General features: G+C 43.5%; 1 protein-coding gene and 1 pseudogene across 3 annotated transcripts in view, besides 6 other annotated features; one reads left to right on the top strand and one right to left on the bottom strand.

The window, feature by feature from the left end:
* Positions 1944-2144: a silencer, noted in NCBI's record as "peak437 fragment used in MPRA reporter construct". NCBI's record gives its function as "represses an SCP1 promoter by STARR-seq MPRAs in K562 erythroleukemia cells {active_cell/tissue: K562}" and the evidence as "EXISTENCE:reporter gene assay evidence [ECO:0000049][PMID:32103011]".
* Positions 7194-18412, bottom strand: CA14P1 (CA14 pseudogene 1; annotated as a pseudogene). The gene is made up of 4 exons (NR_036683.1): positions 18317-18412; positions 15171-15481; positions 8383-8587; positions 7194-7797 (listed from the first exon to the last, which is right to left on the bottom strand). The product of NR_036683.1 is annotated as a CA14 pseudogene 1 (transcript).
* Positions 18165-18344: an enhancer, noted in NCBI's record as "active region_2020". NCBI's record gives its function as "activates an Ori minimal core promoter by ATAC-STARR-seq in GM12878 lymphoblastoid cells {active_cell/tissue: GM12878}" and the evidence as "EXISTENCE:reporter gene assay evidence [ECO:0000049][PMID:35858748]".
* Positions 18165-18864: a biological region, named in NCBI's record as "H3K27ac hESC enhancer GRCh37_chr1:165667608-165668190".
* Positions 18209-18791: an enhancer, noted in NCBI's record as "H3K27ac hESC enhancer chr1:165667608-165668190 (GRCh37/hg19 assembly coordinates)". NCBI's record gives its function as "activates a minimal SCP1, AML or CMV promoter by ChIP-STARR-seq in naive and primed H9 embryonic stem cells {active_cell/tissue: H9 hESC(naive and primed)}" and the evidence as "EXISTENCE:reporter gene assay evidence [ECO:0000049][PMID:30033119]".
* Positions 18415-18604: a silencer, noted in NCBI's record as "silent region_1501". NCBI's record gives its function as "represses an Ori minimal core promoter by ATAC-STARR-seq in GM12878 lymphoblastoid cells {active_cell/tissue: GM12878}" and the evidence as "EXISTENCE:reporter gene assay evidence [ECO:0000049][PMID:35858748]".
* The window catches only part of ALDH9A1 (aldehyde dehydrogenase 9 family member A1), a 36347-nt gene continuing 35383 nt past the window's right edge, over positions 18600-19563 (top strand). Inside the window, exon 1 of one of the 2 annotated variants that reach the window (NM_000696.4) lies at positions 18600-18784. In NM_000696.4, the coding sequence (NP_000687.3) occupies positions 18604-18784 (181 nt within the window). In that variant the 5' untranslated portion in view covers positions 18600-18603. Of the gene's footprint in view, positions 18913-19563 lie in introns of both variants that reach the window. The other variant, NM_001365774.2, reaches the window with a different exon arrangement.
* Positions 18635-18864: an enhancer, noted in NCBI's record as "active region_2019". NCBI's record gives its function as "activates an Ori minimal core promoter by ATAC-STARR-seq in GM12878 lymphoblastoid cells {active_cell/tissue: GM12878}" and the evidence as "EXISTENCE:reporter gene assay evidence [ECO:0000049][PMID:35858748]".

Genomic DNA, 19563 nt, shown 5'->3' with positions numbered 1-19563 from the left:
ACACAAATATATCTGATAATCCATGATAATTCACAACCCTTTTGAGCAGACGCTGCTGTTTCTCTTCTCTTGTCTGAGGACCAAGAGGCAGGGTCGATGTGCTCCTAGCTACCCACTGCCTCATCCTCTTTTTCAAAAAGCCTTTTTTTGGCTGGGTGCGGTGGCTCATGCCTATAATCTCAGCACTTTGAGAAGCCAAGGCGGGTAGATCACCTGAGGTCAGGAGTTTGAGACTAGCCTGGCCAACATGGCGAAACCCTATCTCTACTAAAAATATAAAAATCAGCTGGGTGTGGTGGCGTGCGCCTGTAATCCCAGCTACTTGGGAGGCTGAGACAGGAGAATCGCTTGAACCCAGGAGGCGGAGGTTGCAGTGAGCTGAGATTGCACCACTGCACTCCAGCCTGAGCAACAGAGTGAGACTCTGTCACAAAAAAAAGAAAAAAGAAAAAAAAGGGCCTTTTTTCTTTTCAGGCTCACATGTTCAATCCACAAAGTTCTGTCTTTCTTATTAAAAATAACAATTGTAAAAAAGCAATATACACATTTGGTACAAATACAAATATCTGTGAAGGTATAAAATGAAAAGCAAAAATCTGTGCCTCTCTTCCCTATGCCGTCCTCATGCACCTTCCCTTACTTCAGATTCCAAAAGGTAACCATTGTCAATATTTGGTTATCTGTGATGGTCAACTTTGTGTCAACTTGGCTAGGCTATGGGACCTAGTTATTTGGTCAAACACCAGCCCAGATGTTGCTGTGCTGTTATTTTTTAGATGTGATAAACACTTAACAATCAGTAGACTTTGAGTAACACATATTACATTCCATAACATGTATAGGCCTCATCCAATCAACTGAAGGCCTCACAAGCAAAGACTGAGGTCTCCTAAAGAAGAAGAAATTCTCAAGGTTGCAATGTAGAAACCGTAACTTAGTTTCCAAATTGCTGCCCTGTGGAATTCAACTCAAGACTGCAACTTAACTCTTATCCTGAATCTCCAGCCTGCTAGCCTGCCCTACTAATTTCAGACTTGCCAGCCCCCACAGTCACATGAGCCAGATCCTTAAAATCTCTCTCCCTGTCTTTTTATCCTATTATTTCTTTTTCTCTGGAGAACTCTGACTGATACAGTGCTTGTATTAATGATGGAGATGGACCTCTGTCTCGCCAAATCCATTCTTCACTCTCATAGTTAGTTTCCCTTGCAGTTCATTGTGGTCATTCAACTAAGTTCTCTCCACTTGCATGGGAAAAGAAGTGATGTGAACCACTTCATGCCTTACCAGTGAAGACTTCTTGCTGTTTTCTTCTCTGGATGACTGGGAGGTTCATGCTGAGAGTGTCCTTGGAAACCATGTGTTGAAGATGGCATCCTGAGTCCTTCAGTTACCATGTGGAGCTGAGTCACCTCTTCTCCAACCCTGCTCCTACAGATTTTGAACATTTTACTTAGATGCCTCTGGACTGTTAGGTAAATTGCAAAAAAATTTATATTGGGTGTAAACTATTACATTTTGGATCTGTTTAATAAACTAGCTTAACATACCCTAATTTAGAAATCCAACACCTAAAACAGAGGGATTGGCTTAGTAGATGCACAGCAGGAGGTTAGGAACTGATATCACTGACTGAAAGACGGAGCCTCTTCCTATGCCATGGCAAAATATTTGGTAAAACTGTTGCTGTGATAACTTGACAGGCAGACACAACTCTTATGGTACTGGTACTTCTAGGGAAGGTAGATGGAATGAGCCAGAATGTAACTGTGAGTTGGCTGCTGCTGGCTGTTTTTGGCTAGGTATGTTCAAAAAAGAGATGAGCTCAGACTAGAATCTACTGGTTTGCAAGTGAAAGAAGGGAATAGAGTCCAGAAGCTTGAGGACTTAAAGATTTCTAAAAGCCAACTGCTTCAATACCGTAATAGCCGAGACAAGACTTGTAGCTCAGAGGACTGTCATTGAGACATTTCAGTCAGACAAAGATCTTCTTTCAATCTTGCCCAATTGTTTCAGATAGTTTCAAGACAACTGACACTAAATTGAGAAAAGAGGGTTTGGGGTAGGGAAGAAAAGAGATAAAATAGGCTTAAGGACTCTGTCTAGAAAAGAATCCTGGCTGTGGCTATTGGCACATGGTACTGAATAGAAGAAGCAAACAGATTAAATGTCTTGTAAGCTTTTGTTTTTTTAAGATGTATTCTTGCTCTGTCACCCAAGCTGGAGTGCAGTGGGGCTATCTCAGCTCACTGCAACGTCCGCCTCCCAGGTTCAAGCCATTCTCCAGCCTCAGCCTCCCAAGTGACTGGGACTACGGGTGCCCGCCACCACACCCGGCTATTTTTTCGTATTTTTAGTAGAGACAGGGTTTTGCCATTTTGGCCAGGCTGGTCTCAAACTCCTGACCTCAGGTGATCCACCCACCTCAGCCTCCCAAAGTGCTGGGATTATAGGCGTGAGCCACCGCACCCAGCCTGTCTTGTAAGCTTTTTTTTTTTGAGACAGAATTTCACTCTGTTGCCCAGGCTGGAGTGCAGTGGCACAGTCTCAGCTCACTGCAATCTCCGCCTCCTGGGTTCAAGCAATTCTCCTGTCTCAGCCTCCCAAGTAGCTGGAATTACAGGCGCCTGCCATCAGGCTCGGCTACTTTTTGTATTTTTAGTGGAGACGGGGTTTCACTATATTGGCCAGGCTGGTCTCAAACTCCTGACCTTGTGATCCACCCACCTCGGCCTTCCAAAGTGCTGGGATTACAGGCGTGAGCCATGGCGCCCAGCCATCTTGTAAGCCTTTGAAGCATAACTATTGCTGGAGAAACCTCAGGAAGCCTGGCCTAAAAAGTTTTTGTTAAAATAAAGCAAGTCTTGTGCTCCCAAACTTGCAGAAATCAGGCTGCAAAAGTTGAATAATCCTTGAAGAAGGCATATTCCTCACCACCTCCTTTAGAATTTTTTATTTGCACAGCTTTTGGGTCTTTTGATTAGGATGTGTTCTTTTTTTTTTTTTTTTTTTTTTAGATGTAGTCTCACTCTGTCACCCAAGCTGGAGTGCAGTGGCACAGTTTTGGCTCACTGCAACCTCCGCCTCCCAGGTTCAAGCGATTCTCCTGTCTCAGGCTCCCGAGTAGTATCTGGGATTACAAGCACGTGCCACCACACTTGACTAATTTTTGTCTTTTTGGTAGAGATGGGGTTTCAACATGTTGGCCAGGCTGGTCTCGAACCCCTGACCTCTGGTGATCAGCCTGCCTTGGCTTCTCAAAGTGCTGGGATTACAGGCGTGAGCCACTGTGCCCGGCCCAGTGTCATTTCCTTAACATTTCTTTTGCTTGAAGTTCATTGAACTTCTTGGGCCAGTAAGCTTGTAGTTTCAATCAAATTTGGAAAATTTATTTTAAATTTTTTAATTTGTTTTTATTTTTAGAGACAGGAGTTCTCACTATGTTACCCAGGCTGGTAACAAACTCCTGGGTTCAAGCGATCTTCTTGCCTCGGCCTCACAAAGTGCTGGAATTATAGTCATCAGCCACAATGCCTGGCCGAATGTGGAAAAATTTTTGATCATTATTTCTTCCAGCATTTTTTCTTTCTACCTCCCAATTGCTGTATCTTTTGAGACTCTAATTACATACATGTTCAGTCACTAGATATTACCCCACAGCTCACTAATTCACTTTTTCTCAGTCTCTTTTTCTCTGTGTTTCATTCGTAGTTTCTAAAAAATGATTGCTGTGCCTTCAAATCCACTGATATTTTCTTCTGTAGTATCTACCTGTTCATGTCATTCAGTTTATTTTTAATTTCCAGTACTGAATTTTTCATCTCTAGACCCATCTCGATATGGGTCTTTTATATATCTTCCATTTTCCTATTCATCATGTTTATACTTTACTTTTTAAGCATAGGAAGTATATGTGTAATAACTGTTTTAACATCTTTGTCTAATAATTCCATCATCTGTGTGTTTTCTGGGTCTGTTTCTTTTGACTGGTTTTCCTCCTGATCATGAGTTATCTCTTCCTGCTTCTTTGCATGCCTGATAATTTTTTATTGGCTCCTGGACATTGTGGATTTTACTTTATTAGGTGATAGACTTTCTTGTATTACTTTGAATATTTCAAGAGTTTTATTCTGGGACAAGATAAGTTATTTGGAATTGGTTTGATTCTTCCGAGGCTTTTATTTATTTATTTATTTATTTATTTATTTATTTATTTATTTATTTATTTATTTTGAGACGGAGTTCCCCTCTGTCGCCCAGGCTGGAGCGCAGAGGCGTGAGAGGCTTCCTTTTAAGCTTTGTTATGGCAGGCCCAGAACAGCCACTAGCCTAGGGCTAATTTGAGCCCATTATTGAGGCAATAGCCTTCTGAGGACCCTACACAATGCCCTATAAGATCTTTCCACGCTGGCTGCTGGGAACCCAAACTATTCCCAGTCCTATATGAGGTCAAGGGATTTTTCCTGCCTCCTCCTTTCTGGTGGTTTTTCCCCTGGCCCTGGGTAGTTTCCTCATTGCTGAATACTGCAGATCAGTACTCAGCCTTCAAATCAAGGGGACTCTGCAAGTAGAATGATGTTTCCAGGAGCTGAGAGGGAGAGAAATGGGGAGATGTTGGTCATAAAGAACAAAGTTCCAGTTATGCAGGATGAATAAATTCTGGAGATCTAATTGTATAGTATGGTTCCCATAGTTAATAATACAGTATTGTATACTTGACATTTGCTAGGAGAGTAGATCTTAAATGTTCTTACCACACACACAAGAAAATGGTAACCATGTGAGGTAATCGATATGTTAATTAGCTTGATCATGGTAATCATTTTACATTATATATATGTATATCAAAACATCACAATGTACACCTTACATACATACAGTTTTTACTTGTCAGTTATACTTCAATAAAGCTGGGGGGAAATAGAGGGAGGAATCTCTTCAAATATCCATAATTCTCTTTTTAATAGTTCCCTTCTTTCTGGCACTGCCCCACAAATTCTAGCTGCTTTTATCTTCCTAAACTCTGAATTCTCAGTTTAGGGAAACACCTGTGTTCTATTTGTTTTTCCTGTTTTTAGGTGGAGAGCTGGGAAACTTGGAAGAGCTGACTTTGTTTCCCTTCTCTCAGAGATGACCGCCTATGCTACCTGTTGTCCAATGTTTATAAATCATTGTTTCCTATATTTTGTCCAGTTTTCTAGTTGTTTAAGGCAGGAAGGAAAGTCTGGTTCCAGTTATTTCATCATGGTTGGAAGCAGAAGTTTCAATATCCACTTAAGATGAGCATATGGAGGACAGAGAAGAGAATACCTCCCAGAAGGCACTGCCAGGGACTTAACATCATCTGGGTTTTCTCAAATCTCGATACTCTCCTTTAGCAACTTACAAGTCACACCCTCAGATTTGTTGAGGACTTAAACACACAGCTTAATCTTTTCCTTTATATCCTTTTTTCTTTTAAAAAAATTATTTATTTTTTTTTGAGACAGGGCCTCACTATGTTGCCAAGGCTGGCATCAAACTCCTGGGCTCTGGTGATCCTCCTGCCTTAGCCCCCTGAGCAGCTGGGATTACTGGTGCATGTAACCATGCCCAGCTCCTTTCTATTCTCTTTTCTGCCATAATTCCAGGTGTCTATGACATCCTTATAGTTGACCAATCCAGTAGTAGCAGCTTCTACTTATTGAGCCCACTGTGGCAGATATTTTACTTATGTTGTCTTTTTTTTTTTTTTTTTTTTTTTTGAGATGGAGTCTTGCTCTGTCACCTGGGCTGGAGTACAGTGAGGCAATCTTGGCTCACTGCAACCACCACCTTCCAGGTTCAATCAATTCTCCTGCCTCGGCCTCTGGGGTAGCTGGGATTACAGGCACCCGCCACCACCCCCAGCTAATTTTTGTATTTTTAGTAGAGCCAGGGTTTCACCATGTTGGCCAGGCTGGTCTCAAACTCCTGACCTCAAGTGATCCATCTGCCTCAGCCTCCCAAAGTGCTTGGATAACAAGCATGAGCCACCATGCCCGGCCTACATATGTTGTCTTCTTACATTGCTCCTACCGTTAGTTATAATTTTCTCCTTTTAAAAAAAAAAATAAGAAAACAGACACTGAGAAGGTTAAGCAACTTGTTCAAATTCATTTGTTGTTAAGGGACAGAGCCAAGATTTAAAAGTAGCCATTGCTCATCATATACCTTGTTAACTAGCTTTGCAATTCCTAGACATCCTTTACTGCAGCAGACTTCCCCTCCACTTCACTCCAACAATTCATTCCCATGAATTAATGTAATCACCACCTAAAGCTCTGAAATACTGAACAGAGAAATCTCTTTGAACACACATATCTTAGATGCTTCCACAACCTTAACTTTTCCCCATTCTTCTCTTTTTCTTTCTTTTTGAGATGGAGTTTTGCTCTTGTTGCCCAGGCTGGCGTGCAGTGGCACAATCTCGGCTCACTGCAACCTCCACCTCCCGGGTTCAAATGATTCTCCTGCCTCAGCCTCCCAAGTAGCTGGGATTACAGGCATGTGCCACCACATCTGGCTAATTTTTTGTATTTAGTAGAGACAGGATTTCACCACGTTGGTCACACTGGTCTCGAACTCCTGACCTCAGGTGATCCACCCACCTGGGCCTCCCAAAGTGCTGGGATTACATGCATGAGGCACCGCCCCCGGCCTTTTTTTCTTTTATTGAAAAAGAAGTTATCATTCATTGTCACAAGGGCCTTCAGGTCCTTTGTTCCTCTTTTTCTGCCGCATTACCCCATTAATCCTCAACCCTAGATGAATCCGAGCACCTGCTTGTTCTCCTCCTGGACCACTGAGTGAGGATGGAAAAAAAATCTATTCAATATTCAACTCAGCACTGAGTACTGCTCAACAACCGTTTTACTAATTCTTAGTTAGCGAAGTTTGTTATCTCCCAGAAGTGCTGTTCCAAAACTTTATCTTCCTTTTTCTTTTCTCCTTATTTTCAGCAGGTGATTTTTCTTCCTACTTCACAGAGAAAACCAGCTCTCTTCCAGCCATGCTCCTTCACTTCCAAACATATATCTGTACTCATCTTTTCACCTTTTCTCTTTTTTGAGGAAAGAAAAACAGTATTTCTTCTCTTTACATTTTTACTTGTCCTCTTGGCTCCACTCTTTCTTGCTGCCTTTGGGACTTTGCATCAATTATTTCTTATTTCCTTTTTTTTCCTCCAGAAACTTTAGTTTCCAAATATGTTGAGCAAAAATATATAACCCCAACAGCAACTCTTTCTCCTAAGGGGAGATCCTGCAATATATCTAGGGAAAGGGACATAAAGGTGAGATGGTGGAGGACTTTGGGGTACATCCCAAACTTCCCCTAAAACTAAACACAGTTTGTCCTCTGCACTAACAACACAGGGATGCCCTGATCTCCTCCTACATGTTTTGAGGGGCTGAAGGCTCTGCTGTTCTTCCTTGAATGAGAGCCTGGGTCCATACCTCTCTGCAGGGGATGTCCAGAGGAGAAGCGCCTACTACTCCTACAGTAATTCCGGCCAGTCCCTGCACCCCATTTTAGAGGTTCCCTGAGGGGTGGTGAGACATGAGGGGAAAGCACCTCTGGAGGCACGAGGGGAAGGCATCCATATCCAAGGTATCTAAGAGGGAGTTTATGCCTCAGTGGTGGCTCATGCTGAGGTGATGACCACGCTCTTCTGATTTTCCAGCCTCTTGTTCTGAAGCCTTCTAGCCATGAAGAAAATGGCCAGCAGAAGTCAGAGAGAGCCAACCAAGATTCCTACACCAAGGCTCAGCATTTCACCTGTAGGATACAAGGATCCCATCTGGATGAAAAAAGCAAAGGTCATTGCTGGTTGAGAGGCTGAGGGGATCAGTAGTTCTGTATCAGGACTTGGAGGGCCCCTCTTCTGTGGAGAACAATGTCTCCTGAAGCTTTTCCAGCCGTTCCATTGAAATCTGGGCCCTTGGACTGAAAACTGTCCAGGGCACCCTCTACTAACAAGGGGAAGTTGTGAGCGAGCTATTGTAAAGGAAGAACTGCCCTAGCTGTCGGGGGAGCAGCTCTCTCACTGAGGTCTTCTGATCTTTATGCTTGATTTCATGCAAGTGACCCAGAATGTGTTCATAAGCTACATTCTTTTTTTTTTTTTTTTTTTTTTTTTAAGTCTCGCTCTGTTGCCCAGGCTGGAGTACAGTGGTGCAATCTCAGCTCACTGCAACCTCCACCTCCCAGGTTCAAGTGATTCTTCTCCTACCTCAGTCTCCCGGGTAAGCTGGGATTACAGGTGCCCACTACCACACCCAGCTAATTTTTGTATTTTTAATAGAGACGGGGTTTCACCATGTTGGCCAGGCTGGCATAAGCTATATTCTTAGTCTCACTCACCTCAATTAGGATGCCCAGGACAGTCAGGCCCTGAGGCCTCTGAGCGGCCTCACTCAAGCTATCACAGGAATCACAGCCATAACGTATGATGTGGAGCTCGGCAACTGTGGCTTCACTGTTGATCTGGTGTTCTGAGCCCCCTGGGGATCATCCTGACCCCAGTGCAGGTGTAGCTGGGTAGCTACATATTTTCTGGAAAGTCCACCTAGATACAGGGTAGAGGGCAGAGACAGTTGTACTGTGTAGCTATTCTTGTGCAGGTCTAAAGGCTCAGTGCCAGGCCGGTCATATCCATGGGGCTGTAGAGCAGTCATCTAAGGGTCAATTGTCACACTGTCTGTCCGGATATCGAAGGGGGACTGTGTATTGTTTCCACACTCAGGGTAAAAGGCTGGCCACAGTGGTCCTGACTATGTGGGCACTCATATGTCCAGTGTTGACCCTCGTCTGCAGCCAGGATCCAAATCACCTCTAGCAGGAGGATGAAGAACAACATGGTATCCCAGGAAGGGGCACAGGGGACTGGGAGTTTGGAGACTAGATGACTAGGGCAGGCAGAGAGAGAGACGGGGAGAGAGGCAGAGAGAGAGAGACGGGGAGAGAGGCAGAGAGAGAGAGACGGGGAGAGAGGCAGAGAGAGAGGTGAGTTCCTGGTGTTGAGTGTCTTTATCCCTTTTTTTGCTGCTGTCTCTGTGGGTTTCCAAGGGATTTGATTTTCAGTAGGGTACCGTGGGTTTCTGGGTCCCCAGAACAAATCTCTTGCTGCTTCTCTCAGCCCTCTCTCTTCACCTCCTCGGCAGTCTCCATTCCACTTGATGACCCAGTTATTTCTTATTCCTCTTGGATTTGCAAGTTCTCCCTCTTCCTGACTCCTTTTTTCTTCCTGAAACTGTATTGCACCTTTCTTTCTTTCACTATCCTTTTGGAAAATGTAGTTGTATGTTCAATGTACACATTGCACCTCTGGTTCATTCCATAACTTATTATAGCCTGGCTTCTTCTCGCCCTTCAACTGAAATTGCTCTATTTAAAGATACTAAAGATCCCTTACTTGCTAACTTTAATGATCTCTTCCCCATTTTACCCAATCTGATTCTTAAACAGCATTTCCTACAGAGTTTAGTAAGTCACCTGAAAAAACAATGCTGAGCTCAAATAAGATTGAGAAACATCAGATTGTATAACATTGAGCAGATTTCTTTACTGCAGCACTTATTTAAGTTCAAAATATGGTAATAATCATTGTGATTTCCAAAATGGGAATGTGTTAAGTACAGTTTTCCAAACTTATTTATCAACAGAATCCTTTTTATATGGAGCATCTTGCAAAATTAGTGTTCTGAGAGTCATAACATGGGAAACAATGCTTAATTGTTTTGAATGTGGTCCAAGGACGCTTGCATCAGAATCACTGTGGATGCTGATTATTGATACAAAAAATCATCGCCACGTCTTGTTATGTCAGAAGCTCTTCTACCAGAAGCTGAAAGAGAATAGCCTTTCAAGGAACATGGAGAAGTTAACGTGAGGATGTCAGAACAAGAACACAGAGGGTCCCTTGGTCCCTAATACTTTGGGGGCCACCATATTATCCCTGGACTGCTTAGCATGGACCGTTATATAATAGAGAAATAAATTTATTTCCTGTATTTGCCATTGCTATTTTTGCCTTCGATAATGCAGCTGATCTGAAAACTAATTAATTCAGAGATAAAAAGAGAACGTACGTTCTGACTAATCATGGTGAATAGTCTCTGTTCTGTTCTTTATTAAAAAGCATGGATTTCTCTGTTGTGATGTCTTCCTATTTAAGGTAAAAAGATAAGGTCTTTCTTCTTTTTTTCTCTTTTTAAATTTCAATATCTTTTGAGGTACAAGTGGTTTTTGGTTACATGGATGAGGTCTGTAGCAGTGAATTCTGAGATTTTAGTGTACCCATTACCCAAGCAGTGTACACTGTACCCAATATGTAGTCTTTTATCCCTCATCCCTCTCCCAACCTTCCCTCTGGGTCCTCAAAGTCCATTATATCACTCTGTATGTCTTTGCATCCTCATAGCTTAGCTGAATCAAGATATATTTTAAAGGCAAAAATGTTAACACTTGATAATGGATTGGATATGTGGCATTTAGAGATTGGATAGGTTGGGATTTTTTAAACGTTCTGAATTGTAATTTATGTTAGAAATTGTCCAAAGCACTTTCATTAAACTTCTGATTTCTCTATTGTGTTTTTCTATGACTCAAGGTAAAGAAAAAATAAGGAACCTAAGGAAACTGGCTACATAATACAACAGCTACTTATTAAGTTCTTACCATGTGCCTGTGTATTCAGGTTTGTATACTCCTAACATCTAATTCAGTGCCTGGTGCAGAATGGGTTCTCAAAAAACATTGGAAAGGCAGATGAAAAACTGCCTACAAATTAGATTTCTCAATAGCAATTCTAAACTAGAAGATAATGGAATTTACATTTAAAATTCTAAAAGAATGTTGTTTTCAACTTGAATACTATACTTATCTATGCACAGCTAGATCATCAATCATATGTGAGAGAATGAATATTTTTCATTTGGGCAGTCTCAAATGATTTACCTTCCTTGTGCCCTTTCTCAAGAAGCTACTACTAGAAGATGTCTCTGTTAAAATAAGGGAGTATACGAAGAAAGAGGAAGACATGGAAACAGAGGATATTGGCAGGCAGGGGCAAAGGGAATGCTTGGGATGACAGCAAAGACAAGTCCCAGGGCAAGAGTGGGGGAGCAGGTGGAGAGAACAAGCAATCCAGAGTAGATGAGGAGGTTGGAAAACTCCCGTACAGGTATCTCCAAGGAAAACAAAACAAAAAGCCACACAAATTATCTCATAGGTTTGACCATATAGAAATTATATATTGACTTTGTTTTACAGAGCTGTCAGAGGGTGTGGAAAGACTTAGTCAAGTATTCATAAGAAAATTAGAAGCAATTGTGAACTGGAAAAATAAAAAATTATGCAAAAAAGAAAATATAATTAAAATAGACTACTTGGCTTAATGGTGATTAATATTTACAGTCATATAATAAAAAAACTCCCTGCATATCATGAATGAAGTAATTACATACCTCTGTCAAAATTTGTTGTACTGTCCCCTTGATATGAGTGCATTTTATTAATTGTAAACTATACCTCAAGACCTCTAGCCAAAAAAAGGCTGCCTGCTCTGTTGGACAAGACTTTTTTTTTTTTTTTTTTTTTTTTAGAGATAGAGTCTCTCACTCTGTCGTGCCCAGGCTGGAATGCAGTGGCGCGACTTCAGCTCACTGCAAACTCCACCTCCCGGGTTCAAGCAATTCTCCTGCCTCAGCCTCCCAAGAAGCTGGGATTACAGGCGCCCACCACCACGCTCGGCTAATTTATTGTATTTTTAGTAGAGACGGGGTTTTACCATATTGGCCAGGCTTGTCTCCAACTCCCAATCTCAGGTGATCCACCCGCTTCGGCTTCCCAGTGTGCTGGGATTACAGGCATGAGCCACCGCACCCGGTCTTTTTTTTTTTTTTAAGGCTACTTGCAAATTGGTATCAAAAAGTTTAAAAACAATTATGTCTTTAGACCTAGCAATTCCACTTCTAGGATTCTGTCCTAAGAAAACAAGCCATATGGGCAAATGCAGCTTGTAGGGGCGGCAAAACTCCACCTCTGTTCTCTTAGACTCCTGATTGGGCTGGAGAATTAAAATGACATAAAACAGATTAACAGGAGAAAGCATCCAAATTTTGTGTGTGTCTGTGTGTGCTGTTTCTTTTCTTTTCTTTTTTCTTTTTTTTTTTTTTGGTACAGAGTCTTACTCTGTCACCCAGGCTGGAGTGCAGTGGCTCGATCTCGGCTCACTGCAACCTCTGCCTCCTGGGTTCAAGCGATTCTCCTGCCTCAGCCTCCCAAGTAGCTGCAATTACAGGTGCACACCACCACGCCTGGCTAATTTTTGTATTTTTAGTAGAGACGGGATTTCACCATGTTGACCAGGCTGGTCTTGAACACCTGACCTCAGGTGATCCACCAGCCTGGGCCTCCCAAAGTTCTGGGATTACAGGCATGAGCCACCGTGCCCAGCACGAATATATTTAATGCAGGTTTTAGGTGGCACACAAGAAAAGAAGCAGTTTGAGTCAGTTCCTTATATACTGAATTGGACAAAGAGTGGTAAGTTATGATGAAGCAACTAAATTATGTGGAAGGACTTAAAAGGTAAGAGTTATTTTAACAAGGTCTGTACAGAATTCTCTTGGTCTTGATTTCTTGTCCTTAAAGATAAGGATATTGCTTCTTTCACATGGGAATTTCATCTTTAGCTTTAAAGGAACAGCACAAGGCCGGGCACAATGGCTCATGCCTGTAATCCCAGCACTTTGGGAGGCCGATGTGGGCAGATGATTTGAGCCCAGGTGTTCAAGACCAGCCTAGGCAACATGGCAAGATCCTGTCTCTACAAAAAATACAAAAATTAGCTGGGTGTGATGGCACATGCCTGTAGTCCCAGCTACTTGGGAGGCTGAGGTGGGAGGATCGCTTGAGTCCAGAAGGTTGAGGCTGCAGTGAGCCATGACAGTGCCACTGCACTCCAGCCTGGGCAAAAGAGTAAGATCCTGTCTCAAAAAAAAAAAAAAAAAAAAAAAAAAGAAGAAGAAACAGCACAAAGGTTACAGTGATCTTTTTGCACCTGCTGTTTTTCTTTTTTTTCTTTTTTTTTTGAGTCAGGGCCTCACTCTATTGCTCAGGCTGGAGTGCAGTGGCACGATCATGGCTCACTGTAGCCTCAACCTCCTGAGCTCAAGTGATACTCTCACCTCAGCATCCCTGCTATTTTTCAAATGCCTTTAACTTAAATGGTATGCCAGAATGGCTTGGTTTTTCGTTTGTTTGTTTTTGAGCCAGTGTCTTGCTCTGTCATCCAAGCTGGAGTACAGTGGTGTGATCATGACTCACTGCAGCCTTGACCTCCCAGGCTCAAACCATCCTTCCATCTCAGCCTCCTGAGTAGCTGGAACCCCAGTTATGTACCACCACACCTGGGTAATTTTTTATTGTTTACTTTGTGTAGAGACAGAGTTTTGTTATTTTGCCCAGGCTGATTTCAAACTCCTGGCCTCAAGTGAGCCTCCCGCCTTGGCCTCCCAAAGTGCTGGGATTACGGGTGTAAGCCACTGCACCTGGCCTCTTTGTTTGAGTTTTTAAAGTTTTGGGTTTTTTTTTAGAATTGGGGTCTCATTGTGTTGCCCAGGCTGGTCTCAAATTCCTAAGCTCAAGCAATCCTTCCCCCTCAGATCCTCTCACCTCAGCCTCCTGAGTAGCTGGGACTACAGGTGTGTGCCCAGAAAAAACACTGACAGGTGTGTGCCCAGAAAAAACCACTGATATACATATCAGTATATACAGGTGATGGCTCACACCTGTAATCTCAACACTTTGGGAGGCTGAAGCAGGAGGATTGCTTAAGCTCAGAAGTTCGAGACCAACCTGGGCAAGATGATGAGACCCTGTCTCTAAAAAAATAAAATAAAATAAGAAAAATTAGGCATCCTGGTACATACCTGTCTTCCCAGGTACTCAGGAGGCTGAAGCGGGAGGATTGATTGATCCCAGGATATTGAGGCTGCAGTGAGAAGTTATCACACCACTGCACTCCAGCCTGGATGACAGAGTGAGATCCTTTCCCAGAAAACAAAAATCATATCCTTTTTTTAAAAAAACCTTCTGAATCTCTCATTTTTATATCTTATACATTTGGAAGAGTTGGAATAATTTCTATATAATGCTACTGTCTTAGATAACAGACAGATTCTAAATTTTTCTGTAAGCTCAGTAGCCTTTAGCCTCTAGCTGATTATCAACTCCAAGAACAAATTCCAAAGTCAATGACCCTGAATTTCATTTGAGAAAAACACGAAGGCACTGCAAACTATGAACATTGTTATTATAATAGCAATTGTATAGTGCTTTCTAATTTTTAGACCACTTTCACATACTGTTTCATATTACCTCAGGTTTATAAATTAAACCTATTTTTGAAAATATGAGTATTATAGCCTAAAAAGCTGTTAAAAATGAAAAAGACTAGATTATCCAAGCAGAGATGCCTAAGTAGCATTAGGGGACATCCTCATCAGCGCAGTGATTTCAAAGTCCTGGTTTGTAACACCTGACTGATGTGTTCATTCAACAAATATTCATTAAGGACCTAATCCTAGTGTCAGGCTGCCTAGATTAGGAAACCTGTTAGGTCTTCAGTGAGAAAATTACATTCTGTATATGAAGAATGTGAGGACACTCAGGCTTAAAATAAAATTCAATCTGTAAATTATTGTTAAGTGAAAGGCCCTGTTAAAATGGGCAGGAACAGGATTCTGAGTAATTTTTTCCTTTCTTTTTGTGTGGATGGTTTTCTGGCTCCCCACTGAAGGAGTTGCAACAGTAGTAAACATACTATTGTTCAGGAAATAAAAATAAATGTGGTGTGTGTGTGTTTGATGTATTAATAGTTCTAGAGGACAGACTAAGAGCTAGTACTCCCTAAAGATCTTTTCTTTCTTTTTTTTTTTTTTTTTTTGTTTTTGGAGAGCGAGTCTTGCTCTGTCGCCCAGGCTGGAGTGCAATGTTGCAATCTTGGCTCACTGCAGCCTCTGCCTCCAGGTTCAAGCGATCCTCGCGCTTCAACCCCCCAGCAGCTGGGACTAGAGGTGTGCGCCACCACACTTGGCTTTTTTTTTTTTTTTTTTTTGTATTTTTAGTAGAGACAGGGGTCTCACCATGTTGTCCAGGCTGGTCTGGAACTCCTGAGCTCAGGCAATCCACCCACCTCCGCCTCCCAAAGTGCTGGGATTACAGGTGTGAGCCACCGCATCCGGCATTTGCTTTTACTCTGGAGGTTGTGTCCAAGAAGAGTACTGCTAATGGTGAAACTAAGCCAAAGCAACAAATTGACAACTGGATGACCTGAGGGAGAGGCCAGTGAAGGACCCTGGATCACACAGTATGGGTTCCCAAGGACTTCTTCCTTTAGGAGACCTGGAGGTGGCAGAAGGGGATCCAGTTGCTTTTCTTTTCCTCCTCTGGTTGTCTGGGGAAGGAAATGTGGAAAAGGAGGGGGCTTTAGTGGCACCCAAGTTTGGCTTTAAGCAAGTTGTGAGGCAGGCAGTTTCTCCTTGGATCTTCTACCCCTTTAGCAATGATTCCACTCCTTTTCTATCTCTTTTTACCCCCAAATCTGCCCTCCAACACACACCCATCTAAGAGGTGTTTCTCTTTTGGCATTCCTTCTGCTCCTTGTGGCATCTTTGTCCCTTTGAATTTCACCCTGAACTTGTAAACTGGCCAGCATCCTCTGTGACTTCTGGGCTGCTTACTGGGTAGTGCTGACAAATATCCTAAGAAGTTTACATGTCCTTTAAATCTCCCTAGAACCAGATTTCTGGGTTTCTGATAAATATCCACCAACATAAGAGTGAATTTTGATAGCAACCTTCATGGGGTCAACATCTCGACCTGGTGTAGTAAGAAGAAATTTACTTTGGACTTGCACAGAGCTGGACTCCAGCCTTAGCTCCTTTATGGGGAAGCTCTACGACCTTTCTATTAGTTTCCTCATCTGTACAATGGGGATGATAAAACCTATCTTGCATGATTGTCACTGAGATATTTGACAAAGTGCCACATACTACCTCCTAGCTCAATCTCTGTTAGTTTCCTTTTCTTTTGTAGGGTTATTATGAGCTTCATGTGAGAAAGTAAATGTGAAAGGGCTCTGTAACCTATAAAGCTCTTTCTACATGTTGGATTTTGCTAATGAAAAATAATACATTAATAATCTAATAATAAGGGTGGAAGGAGGGAGAGGATCAGGAAAAATAACTCATGGGTACTAGGCTTAATACCTGGGTAATGAAATAATCTATACAACACACCCCCATGACACAAGTTTACCTATGTAACAAATCTTTACATGTACCCCTGAACCTAAAAGTTAAAAATAATAATTTAATAATAAAAGCACAGATAGGTAAGAGGAACAGCTAGATATTTAAAAGGTAGATATTTTGGAGGAGATCTGTTTTCTTTGGGGAAGGGTCTTACTCTGTTGCCCAGGCTGGAGCAGTGGTGCCATGATCGCTCACTCCAGTCTTGAACTCCTGGCCTCAAGCAATCCTCCACCTCAGTCTCTTGAGTAGTCAGGACTACACGCTTGTGCCACCATGCTCGGCTAATTTTTAAAAATATTTTGTAGAGACAGAGTCTCACTATGTTGCCCAGGCTGGTCTTGAACTCCTGGCCTCAAGCGATCCTCCTGCCACGGTCTCCCAAAGTGTTGAGATTACAGGTGTGAGTCCTGTGCCTGGCCAGAGGTTTGTCAGTCTTATCATCTATGAATTAATTCAATAGACATCACGACCACATTTCCAAAACAAACATCAGGAATTATGATGTGACAAGTCAAAATGCATTGGTTGGGGACAGAATCTTTTAAATAGAAATTGTCCCATAAAATTTGAGACGTATAGTTTCTGTACCTAAATGACCATTCAGTGATCTTGGAAATCTATAGTGCTGCTCGTCACCAACTCCTGATATGTTTCAATTCTGTTTGCAATGGACAATAATAAAATAATATGTGAGTGTGGCCTCAGGTATTCTGAGTTTGGGCACTGCTGTTTCCATCTGAGGACCAAGACCTACACATCTCAGTAGCACTGAAAAAGTGAACAAACTGGTATAGAGTGCCAGAAAACTTGATCAGAATACATTATATATACTCTAAACCTGAAAACCACACTCCCTAATATTGCGCTGGTGAGCTGGCAGGTAAAGGAAAAAACATTGAGAAAGACAGCAGCCCCCAGAAGAGAAACAATCCTAAAAGAAATGTCCAAATTGCCAATTACTTTCTGTTTGTCAAAGTCTCTACTGGAGGTGCATGGAAGTTTGGTGAGAAGAATGAACCTTTGTGCAAGATCCCTCAGCTGACAGACCTGTGAGTGCCTCTGGGTGGCTGCTTTGTCTTACAGAAGGCATTTTGTTTCCTGACACTTTTTCCTGTGGCCTTTGCTCTTCGTATTCTGTATGTTAGGCTTCTGTTTCTATCAATATTTGTCATTAATAGCATTTACATTGCTCCTTCAGAATTTATTTATTTTGAGACAGGGTCTCGCTCTGTTGCCCAGGCCTGAGTGCAGTGGCACGATTATAGCTCACTGCAAGCTTGGACCCCCGGGGCTCAGGGGATCCTCCCACCTTAGCCGCCCAAGTACCTGGGGCCACAGGCGTGTGCCACCACACCTGGATAATTTTTTTTTTTTCTGAGTTTCACTCTTGTCACCCAGACTGGAGTGCAATGGCATAGTCTCGGCTCACTGCAACCCGTCTCCCGGGTTCAAGCGATTTTCCCACCTCAGCCTCCCAAGTAGCTGGGATTACAGGCGCCCGCCACCACACCCAGCTAATTTTTGTATTTTTAGTAGAGACGGGGTTTTACCATTTTGGTCAGGCTGGTCTCGAACTCCTGACCTCAGGTGATCTGCCCGCCTTGGCCTCCCAAAGTGCTAGGATTACAGGCGTGAGCCACCGCGCCCGGCCCAATTTTTATTATTTTTATTTTATTTTTTTATAGACACGGGATCTCTCTCTGTTGCCCGCAAACTCCTGGGCTCAAGCGATCCTCCAGCCTTGGTGAGAGCCACAGCGCCCAGTCTCTCTTTAAGAATTTAAAAAGCAGTTTCAGATCACAATATCATCTATCTCGTTCACAGTCCCCTTGCTTTTTACTGTCACCCTTTAAAAAGCATTATACAATTACAGAAACGGTGGTTTAGCAGTGAAGTAACCACCAAAGACTCTTGGCACTCCAATCCTCTGCCTTCTTCAGGCGATAGGATTAAGAATGGGATCCTAGGATGCTTACATGCAATGATGAACCCGAAAACACTTGCAAAGTGCTACGCAAATATTGATCACGAAGAAGGAAGTCCTCTTCCCGCCTGGAGACTGTGTGGGGTATGGCGGGGTGGTGGGGAGAATGTGGTGTCTTGCTCCACCCTCCTGGCGAGGGGAGGGCCTGGCCTGGACCGCAGAGGAATCGAGTGACTGCCCCTAAAATCTCCTAGAACCGATCCCGCGGCCCCGCCCCTCCCGCGGCCCCGCCCCTCCCGCGGCCCGTCAGCCTCTGCCGCGGAGCTGCGTCCGCCACTCATGTTTCTCCGAGCAGGCCTGGCCGCGCTCTCCCCGCTTCTTCGCAGTCTTCGGCCCTCTCCTGTCGCCGCCATGAGCACTGGCACCTTCGTCGTGTCGCAGCCGCTCAATTACCGCGGCGGGGCCCGCGTGGAGCCGGCGGACGCCTCCGGTACCGAGAAAGCTTTCGAGCCAGCAACCGGTAACTGCAACGAGCCGGGGAGGCTGGGGCGCCCTGGGGCCGGATGCGCGGATTTCCCGGCCAGCCCCCGTTTCCTGTGTTCTGCAGCGTTGACTTGAGCACAAGACAGTGACAGTGGAGAGTCTAAGGTTGTGTGTGTAGGCAACTAGCGATTCTGGGGCAACGCGAGTGCCTCCGGGCAGGGATGGGTAGGGAGGAAAAGCAAAGCTGATGAGTTGCGTGGTAGGATCGTGAGTTGTTTTACCCGGGCCAGAACAGAGTTCGCAAAGTACTGGTGGGGGAAGTCGTGCCTCTGTTAACTTCCTTTTTTGTTTGTTTTGTTTGTTTGTTTGTTTTTTGTTTGTTTTGAGACAGGGTCTCACTCTGTCGCCCAGGCTGGAGTGCAGGGGCACCATCTCAGAGCTCACTGCGCCCTCTACCTTACGGGCTCAAGTGCTTCTCCCGCCTCAGCCTCCCTGGTAGCTGGGATTACAGGCTCCCACCACCATGTCCGGCTAATTTTTGTATTTTTAGTAGAGACGGGTTTTCAGCATGTTACTCAGGCTGGTCTCGAACTCCTGAGCTTAGGTGATCCTCCCGCCTCAGCCTCCCAAAGTGCTGGGATTACAGCCGTGAGCCACCAAGCCCAGCCAACTGTTCCCCCTTTTAAAACCAGGACTGATGTATTATTGTCTTCAAATGTGTGCATAGGAGAGGAATTCTAAAAGAACGGGGCGGGGTTGTGGGGAAGATAATCATTTGTGCTGGGAATGAAGGAACGCTCACAGATAGTTTCTAAT

Source organism: Homo sapiens, chromosome 1 (genome assembly GCF_000001405.40).
Source record: "Homo sapiens chromosome 1, GRCh38.p14 Primary Assembly".
Lineage (NCBI taxonomy): Eukaryota > Metazoa > Chordata > Mammalia > Primates > Hominidae > Homo > Homo sapiens.
The sequence above is the reverse complement of the archived record's forward strand: the minus strand, read 5'-3'. Positions and strand labels throughout refer to the sequence as shown.